This window comes from Homo sapiens, chromosome 16 (assembly GCF_000001405.40).
Source record: "Homo sapiens chromosome 16, GRCh38.p14 Primary Assembly".
Classification (NCBI taxonomy): Eukaryota; Metazoa; Chordata; class Mammalia; order Primates; family Hominidae; genus Homo; species Homo sapiens.
The window spans coordinates 31,321,990-31,337,354 of NC_000016.10; the positions used below are offsets into that span (position 1 = coordinate 31,321,990).

General features: G+C 49.7%; 1 protein-coding gene across 7 annotated transcripts in view, besides 2 other annotated features; it reads left to right on the plus strand.

The window, feature by feature from the left end:
* Positions 1-10,888, plus strand: part of ITGAM (integrin subunit alpha M) — a 72,903-nt gene extending 62,015 nt beyond the window's left edge. For 3 of the 7 annotated variants that reach the window (NM_001145808.2, NM_000632.4, XM_011545850.3), the window contains 14 exons: positions 2,410-2,564; positions 2,662-2,793; positions 2,969-3,042; positions 3,274-3,415; positions 3,511-3,633; positions 4,867-4,946; positions 6,158-6,241; positions 7,239-7,314; positions 7,809-7,916; positions 8,092-8,175; positions 8,319-8,432; positions 8,515-8,616; positions 9,176-9,286; positions 9,647-10,888. In NM_001145808.2, the coding sequence (NP_001139280.1) occupies positions 2,410-2,564; positions 2,662-2,793; positions 2,969-3,042; positions 3,274-3,415; positions 3,511-3,633; positions 4,867-4,946; positions 6,158-6,241; positions 7,239-7,314; positions 7,809-7,916; positions 8,092-8,175; positions 8,319-8,432; positions 8,515-8,616; positions 9,176-9,286; positions 9,647-9,718 (1,457 nt within the window). In that variant the 3' untranslated portion in view covers positions 9,719-10,888. Of the gene's footprint in view, positions 1-2,409; positions 2,565-2,661; positions 2,794-2,968; positions 3,043-3,273; positions 3,416-3,510; positions 3,634-4,866; positions 5,011-6,157; positions 6,242-7,238; positions 7,315-7,808; positions 7,917-8,091; positions 8,176-8,318; positions 8,433-8,514; positions 8,617-9,175; positions 9,287-9,646 lie in introns of those variants that run through there. The other 4 variants (XR_950796.1, XR_007064878.1, XM_017023216.2 and 1 more) reach the window with 3 other exon arrangements.
* Positions 3,326-3,553: a silencer, noted in NCBI's record as "fragment chr16:31336636-31336863 (GRCh37/hg19 assembly coordinates)". NCBI's record gives its function as "represses an EF-1alpha promoter that drives an FKBP-Casp9 reporter gene in an ReSE screen in phorbol 12-myristate 13-acetate-treated (for megakaryocytic differentiation) K562 erythroleukemia cells {active_cell/tissue: K562(+PMA)}" and the evidence as "EXISTENCE:reporter gene assay evidence [ECO:0000049][PMID:32094911]".
* Positions 9,489-9,568: a silencer, noted in NCBI's record as "silent region_7417". NCBI's record gives its function as "represses an Ori minimal core promoter by ATAC-STARR-seq in GM12878 lymphoblastoid cells {active_cell/tissue: GM12878}" and the evidence as "EXISTENCE:reporter gene assay evidence [ECO:0000049][PMID:35858748]".

Consider the following 15,365-nt stretch of genomic DNA (forward strand, 5'->3'; position numbering starts at 1 on the left):
TATCACCAGTGACTTCTTCCCTTGTTCCTATTCTCAAAGAGTAGAACTGTGTTTGGGGTGGGAGAATAGTAATGACAATACTAAGAATAACTGTCTCTAGTAGTGACAGCACTAGGAATAACTGTCTCTAGTAATGACAGTACTAGAAAGAATTGTACCCTCTTTAAAAGTAAAATTATTAGCTAGGCATGATGGCATGTTCTTGTAGTCTCAGCTACTTGAGAGGCTGAGGTGGGAGGGGAGGATCACTTGAGCCCAGGAGGTTGAGGCCAGCCTGGGCAACATAGCAAGACCCATCCCTAAAAAATGATTACCTTTCTAGGAACAGTTTTCCTGTGCTGAGGAGATAGCATTCCAGATATGAGAGCAGCCAGCATGGCTAGAAATTAAGAGCAAAATGTTAGAGAGTAGGGAATTGAAGAAGAGGTACCCTTAAACCTACATAGAAGTCCCCCTCTACTCTTTGGCTGACTCTTAAGACACGAATGCCTAGGTCAGTACTCCAAGACACCCAGTAGAAAACAGCAACTGAAAAGCCAAAGAGCTGATCAGAGAATTCAGCAGCTCCTCAGTGCTGGGGAGACAGAGATTTGAGAGGCCTTGGTAAATACCTTGGTCTTTCCATTGAGACAACTGACTAGCAACCAAGAGAAACAATATACAATAGAAATAGACCCACAGGTGATTCAGAAATTAGAGTGATTGGATAGGAATTTTTAAAAGGTAACTATAATTAATATCTTCAAGAAAAAAGGGAAAGGATGAGAACTTCAGCAAAAACCTGGAATTCATAAAATAGAGTCAAATGGAAACTCTAGAACCAAAAATCGCACTGACTGAAATGAAGAATTCAGTAAATAGATTTATAGCAGATTAGAAGCAGAACAGAGAATTAGTGAACAAGAAGACAGTCATTTGAAAGTATCTGGATAAATATGCGATAAAAAGAAAGAAAAATACAGAAAAACACCATAAGAGATGTGTGGGATATGGTGAAAGATCTAACAAACATGTAATTGGAATTACAGAAAGTGGTGGTGGGGGAGGAGAGAGAGAGAGAGAGAAAGAAAATAGGAAAGATGGAATAGGAAAGACAGAATAGGAAAGATGGAATAGGATGGAATAGGAAAGATGCAGTAGTTAAAGAATTTCCCCAAACTGGCCAGTCACGGTGGCTCACGCCTGTAATCCCAGCACTTTGGGAGGCCGAGGCAGGTGGATCACCTGAGGTCAGGAGTTTGAGACCAGCCTGGCCAACATGGTGAAACCCCATCTCTACTAAAAATACAAAATTAGCAGGTGTGGTGGTATGCGTCTGTAATCCCAGCTACTCAGGAGGCTGAAGCAGGAGAATTGAACCTGGGAGGCGGATGTTGCAGTGAGCTGAGATCGCCCCATTGCACTCCAGTCTGGGTGACAAGAGCGAAACTCCATTTCAAAAAAAAAAAAAAAAATTCCCCAAACTGATGAAAGACATCAAGATTCTTTACAAAATCAAAGCAGGATAAATATGAAGGACATTATATCATTGTACGTTATAATCAAACTGCTGAAGACCAAAGACAAAGAGAAAAAAATTTAAAGTAGTCAGAAAAATACAATAAATTTTTTAGTGAGTGACAGAATAGCTACCATTTATTGAGCACTTATTGTATAAAAGACACTGTGCTAAATACTTGATAAGCACTATTTCATTTCCTTTTTACCATTGGGAGGGTATCATTATTATCCTCACTTTAAAAATAAAGAATGGAGGCCAGGCGCAGTGGCTCATGCCTTTAATCCTAGCGCTTTGGGAGGCTGAGGCAGGTGGATTACTTTGAGACCAGCCTGGCTAACATGGTGAAACCCCATCTCTACTAAAAATACAAAAATTAGCACGGCGTGGTGGCATGTGCCTATAATCCCAGCTACTTGGGAGGCTGAGGCAGGAGAAACGCTTGAACCTGGGAGGCAGAGGTTGCAGTGAGCTGAGATGGCACCACTGCACTCCAGCCTGGGCAAGAGAGTGAGATTCTGTCTCAAAAAAGAAAATAAAAAATAAAAAGAAAGGAAGGAAGGAAGAAGGGAAGGAAGGAAAGGAAGGAAAGTAGGAAAGGAAGGAAAGGAAGAAAAGGAAGGAAGGAAGAAGGGAAGGAAGGAAAGGAAGGAAAGTAGGAAAGGAAGGAAAGGAAGAAAAGGAAGGAAGGAAAGGAAAGGAAAAAAGGAAGGAAGGAAGGAAAGGGAGGAAGAGAGCGAGGAAAGAAAGAAAGAAAGAAAAAGGAAGGAAGGAAGGAAAGAAGACTCAGAGAAGTCAGATAACATACCCCAAGTCACACAGCTGAGAAGCAGAGGAGCTGGGCCTTGAACTCCCATCTGCCGGGTTCCGAGGCTCAGGCCCCTCACTGCTGTGCCACCCTGTCCCTTCAGGACAGATCCAGAGTGTTGTGACTTATGACCTGGCTCTGGACTCCGGCCGCCCACATTCCCGCGCCGTCTTCAATGAGACAAAGAACAGCACACGCAGACAGACACAGGTCTTGGGGCTGACCCAGACTTGTGAGACCCTGAAACTACAGTTGCCGGTGAGCAGGCTAGTGGCCAGACCCCTGGGTCTTCCAAGCATGGAGTGGGCTTGGGGAGCTGAGGAGGGCAGATCCCCAAATCCCGGCTATCTCTTAGAATTGCATCGAGGACCCAGTGAGCCCCATTGTGCTGCGCCTGAACTTCTCTCTGGTGGGAACGCCATTGTCTGCTTTCGGGAACCTCCGGCCAGTGCTGGCGGAGGATGCTCAGAGACTCTTCACAGCCTTGGTGAGTCCAGAGTTGGGGTCCTGCAGGGGTGTGGAAGAGACCAGAGACCAAGGTGGTTGAAACTCATTTTATTTGATTGCATCTAATTTTACTTCAACATTTGATTTTATTGTTTAATTTCACAATACTTGGTTATTTTCTTTCCTTTCATTTGATCATATTTATTTTTTAAAAGTTTCCCTTTGAGAAGAATTGTGGCAATGACAACATCTGCCAGGATGACCTCAGCATCACCTTCAGTTTCATGAGGTGAGTTTCCTTTCCTCCTCACCTCCTCCAGAGAAGGACCCGTACCATGACCCGCTCTTTTCTCCTCCTGGCCCCCAAGGGAGCCGGGTGTTCCTGGGCTATAAGGTCCGGTGTGGCTGCCCCTCCACTGTTGTCTCTTCATCAAGTGTCTGCGTCTCTGTTCTGCTGGAGCAGGCTTGCCACAGGGAAGCCCAGCGCCCCATCCCCCGGCCTGTCTTCTTCTTCCCACAGCCTGGACTGCCTCGTGGTGGGTGGGCCCCGGGAGTTCAACGTGACAGTGACTGTGAGAAATGATGGTGAGGACTCCTACAGGACACAGGTCACCTTCTTCTTCCCGCTTGACCTGTCCTACCGGAAGGTGTCCACGCTCCAGGTAGCCACATCCTTCTCAGGCTCTATCTGACCTTTGCTTCCCCATCCTCACGGCCGGAGGTGGATATCACCGCCTTTGCCTCCCCTGCCTTCCAGAACCAGCGCTCACAGCGATCCTGGCGCCTGGCCTGTGAGTCTGCCTCCTCCACCGAAGTGTCTGGGGCCTTGAAGAGCACCAGCTGCAGCATAAACCACCCCATCTTCCCGGAAAACTCAGAGGTCAGAACTCCTGGCTCCTCCCCTCCTTTTCTCTTTGATTTCTTTGGGGATTCTTTTCTTCTTCTTCTCTTCTTTAGTAGTGGTTCCTTTTTGTACAAAACAGCTTTATTGAGATATAATTCATATACCATCCAATTCACCTATTTAAAGCATACATTTCAAGCCCGGCACAGTGGCTCATGCTTGTAATCATAGCACTTTAGGAGGTCGAGGCAGGAGGATCGCTTGAGCCCGAGAGTTTGAAACCAGCCTGGGTGACACGGCGAGACCCTGTCTCTACAAAAAATGTAAAAATTAGCTGGGCGTGGTGGTGCACACCTGTAGTCCCAGCTACTCGGGAGGCTAGGGTGGGAGGATCGTCTGGGCCTGGGAGGTTGAGGCTGCAGTGAGCTATGATCACACCACTGCACTCTAGCCTAGGCGACAGAGTGAGACCCTGTCTTGAAAATAAATAAAATGAAATAAAATAAAATAAAGTATACAGTTCAGTGGCTTTGAGTGAATTCATAGGGTCTTGCATCCGTCATCATGATCCATTTTGGAACATCTTCATTACCTCACAAAGAGCTTCTGTTCCCGTTGGCCCTCAGCCCCAGTCCTCCCATATCCCCCAGCCCTATGCAACCACTAATCTACTTTGTCTATAGATTTGCCTATTCTGGACATTTCATATAAATGAAATAATCCCGTATGTGATCCTTTCCCTAGCATAATATTAAGCAAGGACTTAGCAAGGATCATTCATGTCGTAGTATATGTCAGTACCTCATTGCTTTAAAAAAATTGTTTTTAAATTTTTTATATATATTTTTGAGATGGAGTTTCACTTCGTTGCCCAGGCTGGAGTGCAGTGGTGCAATCTTGGCTCACTGCAACCTCTGCCTCCCAGGTTTAAGCAATTCTTGTGCCTCACTCTCCCAAGTAGCTGGGGTTACATGCGCCCGCCACCACACCCAGCTAATTTTTGTATTTTTAGTAGATACAGGGTTTTGCCATGTTGGCCAGGCTGGTCTCGAACTCCTGACCTCAGGTGATCCACCTGCCTCAGCCTCCCAAAGTGCTGGGATTACAGGTGTGAGCCACCGCACCTGGCCTTCATTGCTTTTTATTTGGTGAACAATATCCTGTTGCATGGATGGGCCATATTTCATGTCTCCATTAATCAGATGACGGGCATTTGGGTTATTTTTTCTCTCATATTTCTGTCATTGTCTCTCCTTTCTCTCACTCCAGGTCACCTTTAATATCACGTTTGATGTAGACTCTAAGGCTTCCCTTGGAAACAAACTGCTCCTCAAGGCCAATGTGACCAGGTGCTCTCTGCTACCAGGCTTCTGCAGGCAGTTGCCCGTCTGACGCCCCAGCCCCTGGCCCATGGTGGGCCTTTGCCCTTTGCCCACTGGTTCTCCCTTCAACTCATTTGTTCACTCAGCAAACACTCACTGACCACCCACCACGTGCTGGGCCTTGTGCTGAGTGCTGGTGGGATGGTGGTGGATCAGACGATAGTGGTTCCTGCCCTCTCGGAGATGATAATTTAGTGGCAAAGACAGACAAGAAATCTAGCCATTAATCTTGCATCCATCTCAAATCCAGTATGAGATGCAAGATTAGATGGGGGACGGCCAGTGTTCTTGGGAGTTTGGTGTTCAGAGAAGATTCCTAAAGAAAATATATTTAGGAGCTGGGCGTGCTGGCTCAAGCCTGTAATCCCAGCACTTTGGGAGGCTGAGGCAAAACAATTGCTCGAACCCAGGAGTTCAAAATCAGCCTGGACAACATATCAATACCCTGTTTCTACAAAAAAAAAAAAATACAAAAATTAGCCAGGCATGGTGGTGCATGCCTGTAATCCCAGCTACTCAGGAGGCTGAGGCACAAGAATTGCTTGAGCCTGGAAGATTGAGGCTGCAGTGAGCTGAGATGGTGCCACTGCACTCCAGCCTGGGCAATAGAGTGAGACCCAGTGTCAAAATAATAATAATAATAATAATAATAAAAAATAAAAGGGAAAAAAAGAAAATATATTTAGACAAAGCAAAGGCATGAACTGAGGGCGGGCATGAAGACAGAAGGCAGGAAGCAGATACCAGGGACGGGAAGATCAGGGTGTGTTTAAGAGTGGCCTCAGCATGAAATGCAGGGCTGAAGGAGTTGGTGGTGGTTAGATACAGGCCATGTCCCAAAATGACTGACGGGTGTTGTTTGGGATTTGCAGTTTCGCCTCTGGGAGTGACATAATCATATTTGCATGTTAGAACGATCACTCTTCAGGAGGGCTGGCGATTGGGGTGGGAGCAGGTGTGAATTCAGGGGACCAGTTAGAAGAAGGTGGTTGCAGACATCCAGCTGGAGAGGGATGGGCCTGGGCTAGGCGGGGGCAGGGGTTGGAGAACAGTGGGGTTTCAGATGCAGAGATAACAGAACTTGGTGGCTGATTGGAGGCAGGGAGTGAGGGAGAGGGAGGAGCAAAGACTAACTGTCAGTTCTCAAGAGCCGGCTGGAGCTCTTTCTTTCCCTCCAGTGAGAACAACATGCCCAGAACCAACAAAACCGAATTCCAACTGGAGCTGCCGGTGAAATATGCTGTCTACATGGTGGTCACCAGGTGCTGGCTTCCAGGACTTTAGCTGAGCCTCCACTTCTGGGCTGGACATGGCTGATTGTGCATCTGTGTGCATGAGTCTGTGCATGTGTGTGTGTGTGAGAGTCTGAGGATCTCTGTGCATGTATGTGTGCATGGGTGTGTATTTGGGCATGGGTGTGTGAGTGTGATGATCTATGTGCATGTTTGTGTGCATGGACGTGTATTTGTGCATGTGTGTGTCTGAGGATGTATCTGCATGTGTGTATGTGTGCATGGGCGTGTATTTGTGGATGTGAGTGTGATCTATGTGTGTGTGCGTGCATGGGTGTGTATTTGTGCGTGTGTGTGAGGATCCTTGTGCATGGGTGTGTATTTGTGCATGTGTGTGTGAGGATCTATGTGCATGTGTGTCTGGGCATGGGTGTGTGTGCATATGTGTGTGTCTGAGGATATATGTGCATTGTGTGCATGGGTGTGTATTTGTGCATGTGTGTGTATGAGGATCTGTGTGCCTGGGTGTGTATTTGTGCGTATGTCTGAAGGTCTATGTGCATGCGTGTGCGCATGGGTGTGTATTTGTGCATGTGTGTGTGTGAAGGTCTATGTGCATGTGTGTGCGCATGGGTGTGTATTTGTGCATGTGTGTGAGGGTCTATGTGCATGTATGTGTGCATGAGTGTGTATTCGTGCATGTGTGTGTGTCTGAGGATCTATGTGCATGTATGTGTGCATGGGTGTGTATTTGTGCGTGTGTGTGTCTGAGGGTCTGTGTGCATGTGTGTATGTGCTCATGGGTGTGCATTTGTGCACGTGTGTGTGAGTGGCCCAAATGGGCACGCACTGTGTGTCCAGCACACATTGGTTCCCCCATCCCCCTGCACCCCACCCCATCTCCACCCCCCAGGACTTCATACCCATTACCCATGTGCCTGTTCGCTCCTTACACACTTAGCCTGAGACACCCTCCCAGGGCACCCCTCATGTTTTGTCACCTCCTGTCCCTTTTTTCTCCCTTCAGCCATGGGGTCTCCACTAAATATCTCAACTTCACGGCCTCAGAGAATACCAGTCGGGTCATGCAGCATCAATATCAGGTGGGCAGCTGGGACGTCTGGGTCCTGAGAAGGAGGCTGGGGAGGAAAATCGATGGTAGAAAATGCAGAAACAGGGATGGGAAATGTGCGCAAGGCACCTGTGGTGTGCCAGGCTTGGTTCCACGCTGCTATCACTCAGTATGCACACATACACGCACGTATGTATGTGACATGCACGCACGTAGTTATCTTGTATTACCTTCGTAGCGACTCTGTGGGGCACTGTCATGATCCCCAGTTTACAGATGAAGAAACTGAGGCTCAGAGAGGTTTACAGAACAAGCTCGAGGTCTCCCACCGAGTAAGTGGGAGAGCTAGGACTGGAGACCAGGCCGTGTGGCACTGGAATGCGTATTACATGTACACTCTACTCTCTCAAACAGGAAGGGGCAGGACGCCCGGGCCTATGGCCTGCCCCGTGGGGAGGGGAGGCTGATTCTCCAGGCTGGTGGGGGAGGAAGGCCAGAGCCCTGACCCCGCCCTCCCCGGTGCAGGTCAGCAACCTGGGGCAGAGGAGCCTCCCCATCAGCCTGGTGTTCTTGGTGCCCGTCCGGCTGAACCAGACTGTCATATGGGACCGCCCCCAGGTCACCTTCTCCGAGGTGAGCGGAGCTCGGCCTGACTCCTGCACGGCCCTGCGCGTTCCTCTCACCTCTGTTAATGCTATTGGGTTTTAGAGCCGCTCCGCCCCTCTCCTGGACCCAGGCCATCTCACCTCCCGAGATGAGGCCCTGGCGCCTTCATCTCTGCCCCTTCTCAGTGCGTCTCTTTCCTCAGAACCTCTCGAGTACGTGCCACACCAAGGAGCGCTTGCCCTCTCACTCCGACTTTCTGGCTGAGCTTCGGAAGGCCCCCGTGGTGGTGAGAAGCTAAGTCAGCCCCAGGGCCACACAGAGACCCAGAGCGCTTCCCTGCTGGAACCTGTATGGTCTCTGAGCAAACGGGGAGGGGTGTTCTCTGCCTTCGGCTTCCTTACCCGTCCCCTCCCCTCCTGCGTTCCCCAGAACTGCTCCATCGCTGTCTGCCAGAGAATCCAGTGTGACATCCCGTTCTTTGGCATCCAGGAAGAATTCAATGCTACCCTCAAAGGCAACCTCTCGTTTGACTGGTACATCAAGGTGTGTGGGGTCCTGAGGCTTCGCCGGGCACAGGCGTGGTGCTCAGGGCCCAGGTGCAGTGCCCACCCGCTCTCTTCCACAGACCTCGCATAACCACCTCCTGATCGTGAGCACAGCTGAGATCTTGTTTAACGATTCCGTGTTCACCCTGCTGCCGGGACAGGGGGCGTTTGTGAGGTCCCAGGTACCTGTCTTGGGCGCTGAGGAACTATTGGAGGGAGAGGGGCTGCGCTTGTGGAGATTTCTGGGGGAGGAGAGAGAGACACAAAGAGAGAGGGAGAGAGAGAGACAGAGCGACAGAGAGACAGAGAGATACAGAGACGTAAGGAGAGAGACAGACAGAGACAGAGAGATAGAGGCAGAGGGAGAAACAGACACAGAGACAGACAAAGGAGAGAGAGATAGAGAGTCAGAGAGATAGAGATAGAGACAGAGACAGTGAGAGATGGAGATAGACAGAGAGATAGAGATAAAGAGAGAGATACAGAGCGCGACAGAGACAGAGACAGTGAGCCATGGAGATAGAGAGACAGAGAGAGGCAGAAAGCGATAGAGAGAGATAGAGGACAGAGAAACGGAGGAGGGAGAGGAGGGAGAAGAGGTGGGGGAGGAGGACTGAGGGCTGGGGTTCTGGGGGACATGAGGAGGGGTTCCCCACTTGATTCAGGGGTGCACACGGTGTGAATGGGGAACCCCCAGAAATCCAGAGTCGTCTCCCCTGACGCCCCTCCTTCCTCCCCCAGACGGAGACCAAAGTGGAGCCGTTCGAGGTCCCCAACCCCCTGCCGCTCATCGTGGGCAGCTCTGTCGGGGGACTGCTGCTCCTGGCCCTCATCACCGCCGCGCTGTACAAGGTGCTCCCCGCTGCTCCCCCACCCCCTCCCTTCATCCTCTCGGGCCTCGCGCTGCAGCTCCGTGCCTCGGTTTCCCCGGCGGGGCTGCCAGCTGTGTGACTGGGGCGAGTCTGGGAGCCTCTCTGCGCCTCAGTCTCTTAGGGAGGGTGGCCGGGTTCATGCGCGGGGCGCGCTGAGAACGAGTCGCCCTCCTTGTAGTTTCTGTTTTTCTCCAGGCCCCGACGCGGATGTCACTCCCCTCCCGCCCCGCCCTCCTGGGTCCCTTCTGTCTCTGCCGGCCCTCCCGCCCCCTCCCCCTGGTCTGCGGAGCCGCACGCTCCCTGGCTGCTGTCGCTCTCACTGCCCTCCTCTGCCCCGCAGCTCGGCTTCTTCAAGCGGCAATACAAGGACATGATGAGTGAAGGGGGTCCCCCGGGGGCCGAACCCCAGTAGCGGCTCCTTCCCGACAGAGCTGCCTCTCGGTGGCCAGCAGGACTCTGCCCAGACCACACGTAGCCCCCAGGCTGCTGGACACGTCGGACAGCGAAGTATCCCCGACAGGACGGGCTTGGGCTTCCATTTGTGTGTGTGCAAGTGTGTATGTGCGTGTGTGCAAGTGTCTGTGTGCAAGTGTGTGCACATGTGTGCGTGTGCGTGCATGTGCACTTGCACGCCCATGTGTGAGTGTGTGCAAGTATGTGAGTGTGTCCAAGTGTGTGTGCGTGTGTCCATGTGTGTGCAAGTGTGTGCATGTGTGCGAGTGTGTGCATGTGTGTGCTCAGGGGCGTGTGGCTCACGTGTGTGACTCAGATGTCTCTGGCGTGTGGGTAGGTGACGGCAGCGTAGCCTCTCCGGCAGAAGGGAACTGCCTGGGCTCCCTTGTGCGTGGGTGAAGCCGCTGCTGGGTTTTCCTCCGGGAGAGGGGACGGTCAATCCTGTGGGTGAAGACAGAGGGAAACACAGCAGCTTCTCTCCACTGAAAGAAGTGGGACTTCCCGTCGCCTGCGAGCCTGCGGCCTGCTGGAGCCTGCGCAGCTTGGATGGAGACTCCATGAGAAGCCGTGGGTGGAACCAGGAACCTCCTCCACACCAGCGCTGATGCCCAATAAAGATGCCCACTGAGGAATGATGAAGCTTCCTTTCTGGATTCATTTATTATTTCAATGTGACTTTAATTTTTTGGATGGATAAGCTTGTCTATGGTACAAAAATCACAAGGCATTCAAGTGTACAGTGAAAAGTCTCCCTTTCCAGATATTCAAGTCACCTCCTTAAAGGTAGTCAAGATTGTGTTTTGAGGTTTCCTTCAGACAGATTCCAGGCGATGTGCAAGTGTATGCACGTGTGCACACACACCACACATACACACACACAAGCTTTTTTACACAAATGGTAGCATACTTTATATTGGTCTGTATCTTGCTTTTTTTCACCAATATTTCTCAGACATCGGTTCATATTAAGACATAAATTACTTTTTCATTCTTTTATACCGCTGCATAGTATTCCATTGTGTGAGTGTACCATAATGTATTTAACCAGTCTTCTTTTGATATACTATTTTCATTCTCTTGTTATTGCATCAATGCTGAGTTAATAAATCAAATATATGTCATTTTTGCATATATGTAAGGATAATTTATAGGATATGTTCCTGGAAGTTTGGGTTCTCCCAGAAGCAAACCCAAGAATTTGGGTGAAACAAGCGTATTTAAGAGGTGGCAGGCCAGGCATGGTGGCTCACACCTGAAATCCCAGCATTTTGGGAGGTGAAGGTGTGAAGATTGCTTGAGCTCAGGAGTTCGAGACTAGCCTGGGCAACATAGTGAGAACCTGTGTCCACGAAAAATTAAAAAAATTTAGCCAGGCCTGGTGTTACATGCCTGTAGTCACAGCTACTCCGGAGGCTGATGCAGGAGGATTACTTGAGCCCAGAAGGTCTAGACTGCAGTGAGCCATGATCGCACCACTGCACTCCAGCCTGGGTGACAGAGTGAGATCCTGTCTCAAAAATAAACAAAATAATAAAATAAAGGTCGGGCACAGTGGCTCACGCCTCTGTAATCCCAGAACTTTGGGAGGCCGAGGCTGGTGGATCACCTGATCTCAGGAGTTTGAGACCAGCCTGTCGAACTTGGTGAAACCCCGTCTCTACTAAAAATACAAAAAAATTAGCCATGCATGGTGGCAGGCAACTGTAATCTCAGCTACTTGGGAGGCTGAGGAAGGAGAATTGCTTTAACCTGGGAGGTAGAGGTTGCAGTGAGATATGATTGCATCACTGCACTCCAGCCTGGGCGACAGAGCAGGACTCCATCTTAAAAAAAAAAAAATAAATAAAATAAAATAAAATAAAGAGATGGCTCCAGGAAATACCGAGGAAGGGAAGGCTGCCAATAACAGGTGTATCACCCACAGAGAAGCTGCTGTGAGTTCCTGGAGCTTCACCCCACTGGGCAGTTCTCGGAGGCAGTGCAGAACACGCACCTCAGTATCACCCCACCCAGGGGAGAAGGCTGGAGCGCATAGACACCGATTCCACTTAGCTATTGGATGAGGGCTGCTCTTGGTGGGGAGAGTGTGTTAATTTCCTACCACTTCTGGCCTGCCCTGAGTGTGAGGAGAGTGGGCTCTAGTGGCCAGAGAAAGTGATACCAGTGCTGCTGGCTGGATGTTTGACAGGTGAACACAGCCCCTGACACGGTGCCTTTGGTTCAGGTCAGGGCACCAGGAGCACTTGCTGCCAAGGTGTGTGCAGGTGACATTTTGGTGGCTGCTTCCTCAGAGGGAGGATGCCCAGTGCCTGTCCCTCATACTTTGCAAACACAGTAAACACTAGCCTGGCCTGAACATACATCCTCTCTAATCCTCACACCAGTCCTTGGTATTTACATGAATTTCACTTATGAGGAAACCTAGGCTTAGATAGATCATACCAGTTGCCTGAGGTCATACAGCTGGGAAGGAATGGAGCTAGGAGTTAATCCCAGCTCTGCCTAGGTCTAAAGCTTTTCTCTTTTACTGTCCTGACAGCCTCAGAGGAATGGCCCCAGAACAGGCATGAGGGAGTGTGGGGAGAGGGTGGCTGTTATTTAACTGTTATGATATTGGGTTAAAGCATATGAAATTGATGACATGTTTTTGGACAAAAATGTTTCTTTCTTTTCTTTCTTTCTTTCTCTTTCTCTCTTTTCTTTCTCTCTCTCTTTCTTTCTCCTTCTTTCTTTCTTTCTCCTTCTTTCTTTCTTTCCCTTCCTTCCTTCCTTCCTTTCCTTCCTTCCTTCCTTCCTTCCTTCCTTCCTCCTTCCTTCCTTCCTTCCTTCCTCCTTCCTTCCTTCCTTCCTTCCTTTCTTTTTTCTTTCTTTCTTTCCTTCCTTCCTTCCTTCCTTCCTTCCTTCCTTCCTTCCTTCCTTCCTTCTTTCTTTCTTTCTTTCTTTCTTTCTTTCTTTCTTTCTTTCTTTCTTTCTTTCTTTCTTTCTTTCTTTCTTTCTTTCTTTTTTTTCATGGAGTCTTGTTCTGTCGCCCAGACTGGAGTACAGTAGTGTGATCTCAGCTCACTACAACCTCTCCCTCCCGGGTTCAAGTGATTATCTTGCCTCAGCCTCCTGAGTAGCTGGGATTACAGGCGTGCACCACAATGTCTGGCTAATTTTTTTTTTTTGTATTTTTGGTAGAGATGGGGTTCCACCATGTTGGCCAGGCTGGTCTTGAACTCCTGACCTCAGGTGATCCATCTGCCTTGGCCTCCCGAAATGCTGGGATTACAGGTGTGAGTCACTGTGCCCAGCCAAAAAATGGTAATTTCATGATCTTCATTGAAATACAAGAAAATCATGGCTTAGAGGGACACTTGTTTCACATGTGGCAGGAGGAGAGAGGGCTTACTCCTTAGGGAGGTGAAGGAAGGGTCCCCAAGGGAGGTGACACCTGACTGAAGCAGGGCCAGAAGATCTCCAGGCAGAAGGGAGGGCAGGGGAGGCTGGGAGAGTGGGCAGGGCTTGGGCATGAGTGCTTTGTAAGCCAGAGTGAGTAGTTCCAATTTCACTCAAAGTGAAGTGAGATGCCCTCAAAAGGTGGCTAATGAGACAATGGCCCTTTGTATCTGTGGGGGTGACACAAAACACGGTCACCTTTAGACGGTTCTTTGCTATTTCCTCTCCTGACTTAAATAAAGTCTGTTAAGAATTTCTGTGTTTCCTTATGTTGAAAGATAAAAGTCCTCAATATCTGCAGAAGTCCTGAATTGCTCCGGGAACAGAGAGAGTTCTGTACCTTTAGTCGCCTGTCCTTTCACCCTCCATGTCTGTAGTCGCCTGTCCTTGCAGCCTCCATGCTGGTCCTTGTAGCCTTCGTACCTAGTTGCTTGTCCTGGCAGCCTCCATACCTGTAGTTGCCTGTCCTTGCAGCCTCCGTGCCTGTAGCCGCCAGTCTTTGCAGGGCAGTTAAAGTCCTGTGAACTCAGAGTTCACCTCCGCGTCTTCAAATGAGAAGCTTGTGTTGAATTCAGCCAGATAGGAGCTTTATGATGGGTTAGAAAAGTCAATCATTTCAAGCGACAGATTTCCCTAGCATGACCACAAAGTGACTAATAAACAGGACCATAAATCTGGTGATAAGTGGCCAAGTCCAGGAACGTCTGCTTGCTTTTATTTTTGGGGATTTCTCACTTCAGAATAAATGAATCCCTTCAGTATCCACTCTCCTTTTCCTACTTAGAGTAGAATCTTAATTTGGGCCACCATGGGAGATGGTTACAATTCTGACTCCCAGTGAATGGTGCTTCCCGGCCCTACACCCTTGCAGTGTGACATTGCTGTCCCTGACATCACATGGTGCGGCCTGTCTACCTCTTTGAATCTGGGCTGGTCCCGTGGTTTGCTTTGATTAATAGAATACAGTAGGAGTGTGGTCGTGTGAGTTCTGGAGCCTAGACCTTTAGGAGCACAGCAGATCCTGCCCTGCACCCCTCGGAACACTGAGGTCACCACGCCGTGATCCATATGGCCCACTGGAGAAAGAGTGGACTCATGGAGGAGACAGCGGAGGCCACTGCCACTGTGCATGCATGAGGCTGCTGTGATCCTTCCATCCAGCTGTCCAACACCTGCAGCCACTGGAGAGTCCCACAGAACTGCCTGGATTGTCACCTCATGCAACTGTGAGAAATAATCAATTACTGATGTCTCAGTCCTGCGTGGTGGTTTGTTACGCTGCAATGGATATTGCGTATAGCCCCTTAGTTATAGGGTTCGTCTCCCCACCTCCTGTGCAGCTGGTGTGGCTGCCTGGCGAGGTTCTGGCTGATGGGATGTGAGCAGCAGTGAAGCGAGCAACTTCGGAGCCAGGTCCTTTGAGGGAAGAAGTGTCGTTTCTTTTCACCACCTTCCCGCTGGCTGGAGTGTCAGCATCACGGTGCACAATTTTGGACCCTGAAGATGAGTTTGACATCGAAGAATGCAAGAGTGGAACAGAGGAGGCTGGGTCCCGCCTCTGCGGAGGCACCATGTCAGCCCTGGACTCCATATTCTCATGCCATTACAGGAGAGAGATGAGAACACTGGTCTTGTTGAAAACACTATCACTCAGAGCCTCCGATACAGCAGTTTATCTGTTTTGTTAATTGATATCACCACCTTCCCAAAGATTCTGTTCTCCCAATTGTGGTAAAGGCCGAAGTCGTCTTCTTCTTATTCTTCTTTTTCTTTTTTCAGACAGTGTCTCGCTCTGCTGCCAAAGCTGGAGTGCAGTGGCGTGATCACAGCTCACTGCAACCTTGAGCTCCTGGGCTCAAGTGATCTCCCACATCAGCCTCCCGAGTAGGTGGAACTACAGGCATGTGCCACCATGCCTGGCTGATTGTTTTATGATTTTTTTTTGTAGAGACGGGGTCTTGCTATGTTGCCCAAGCTGGTCTTGAATTCCTGGCCTCAGGTGATCCTTCCTTCTTGGCCTCTCAAAGCACTGGGATGTCAGGTGTGAGCTGCCACTCCCGGCCTCTGAAGGCCTCTTGATGGTGCAGCTACCCCAGCTTCTAGCATTTTAATCCCTTTCCTCTTATCACTACTCATGATAAGGCCAGCACTCAAAATAGAGGGTCCCC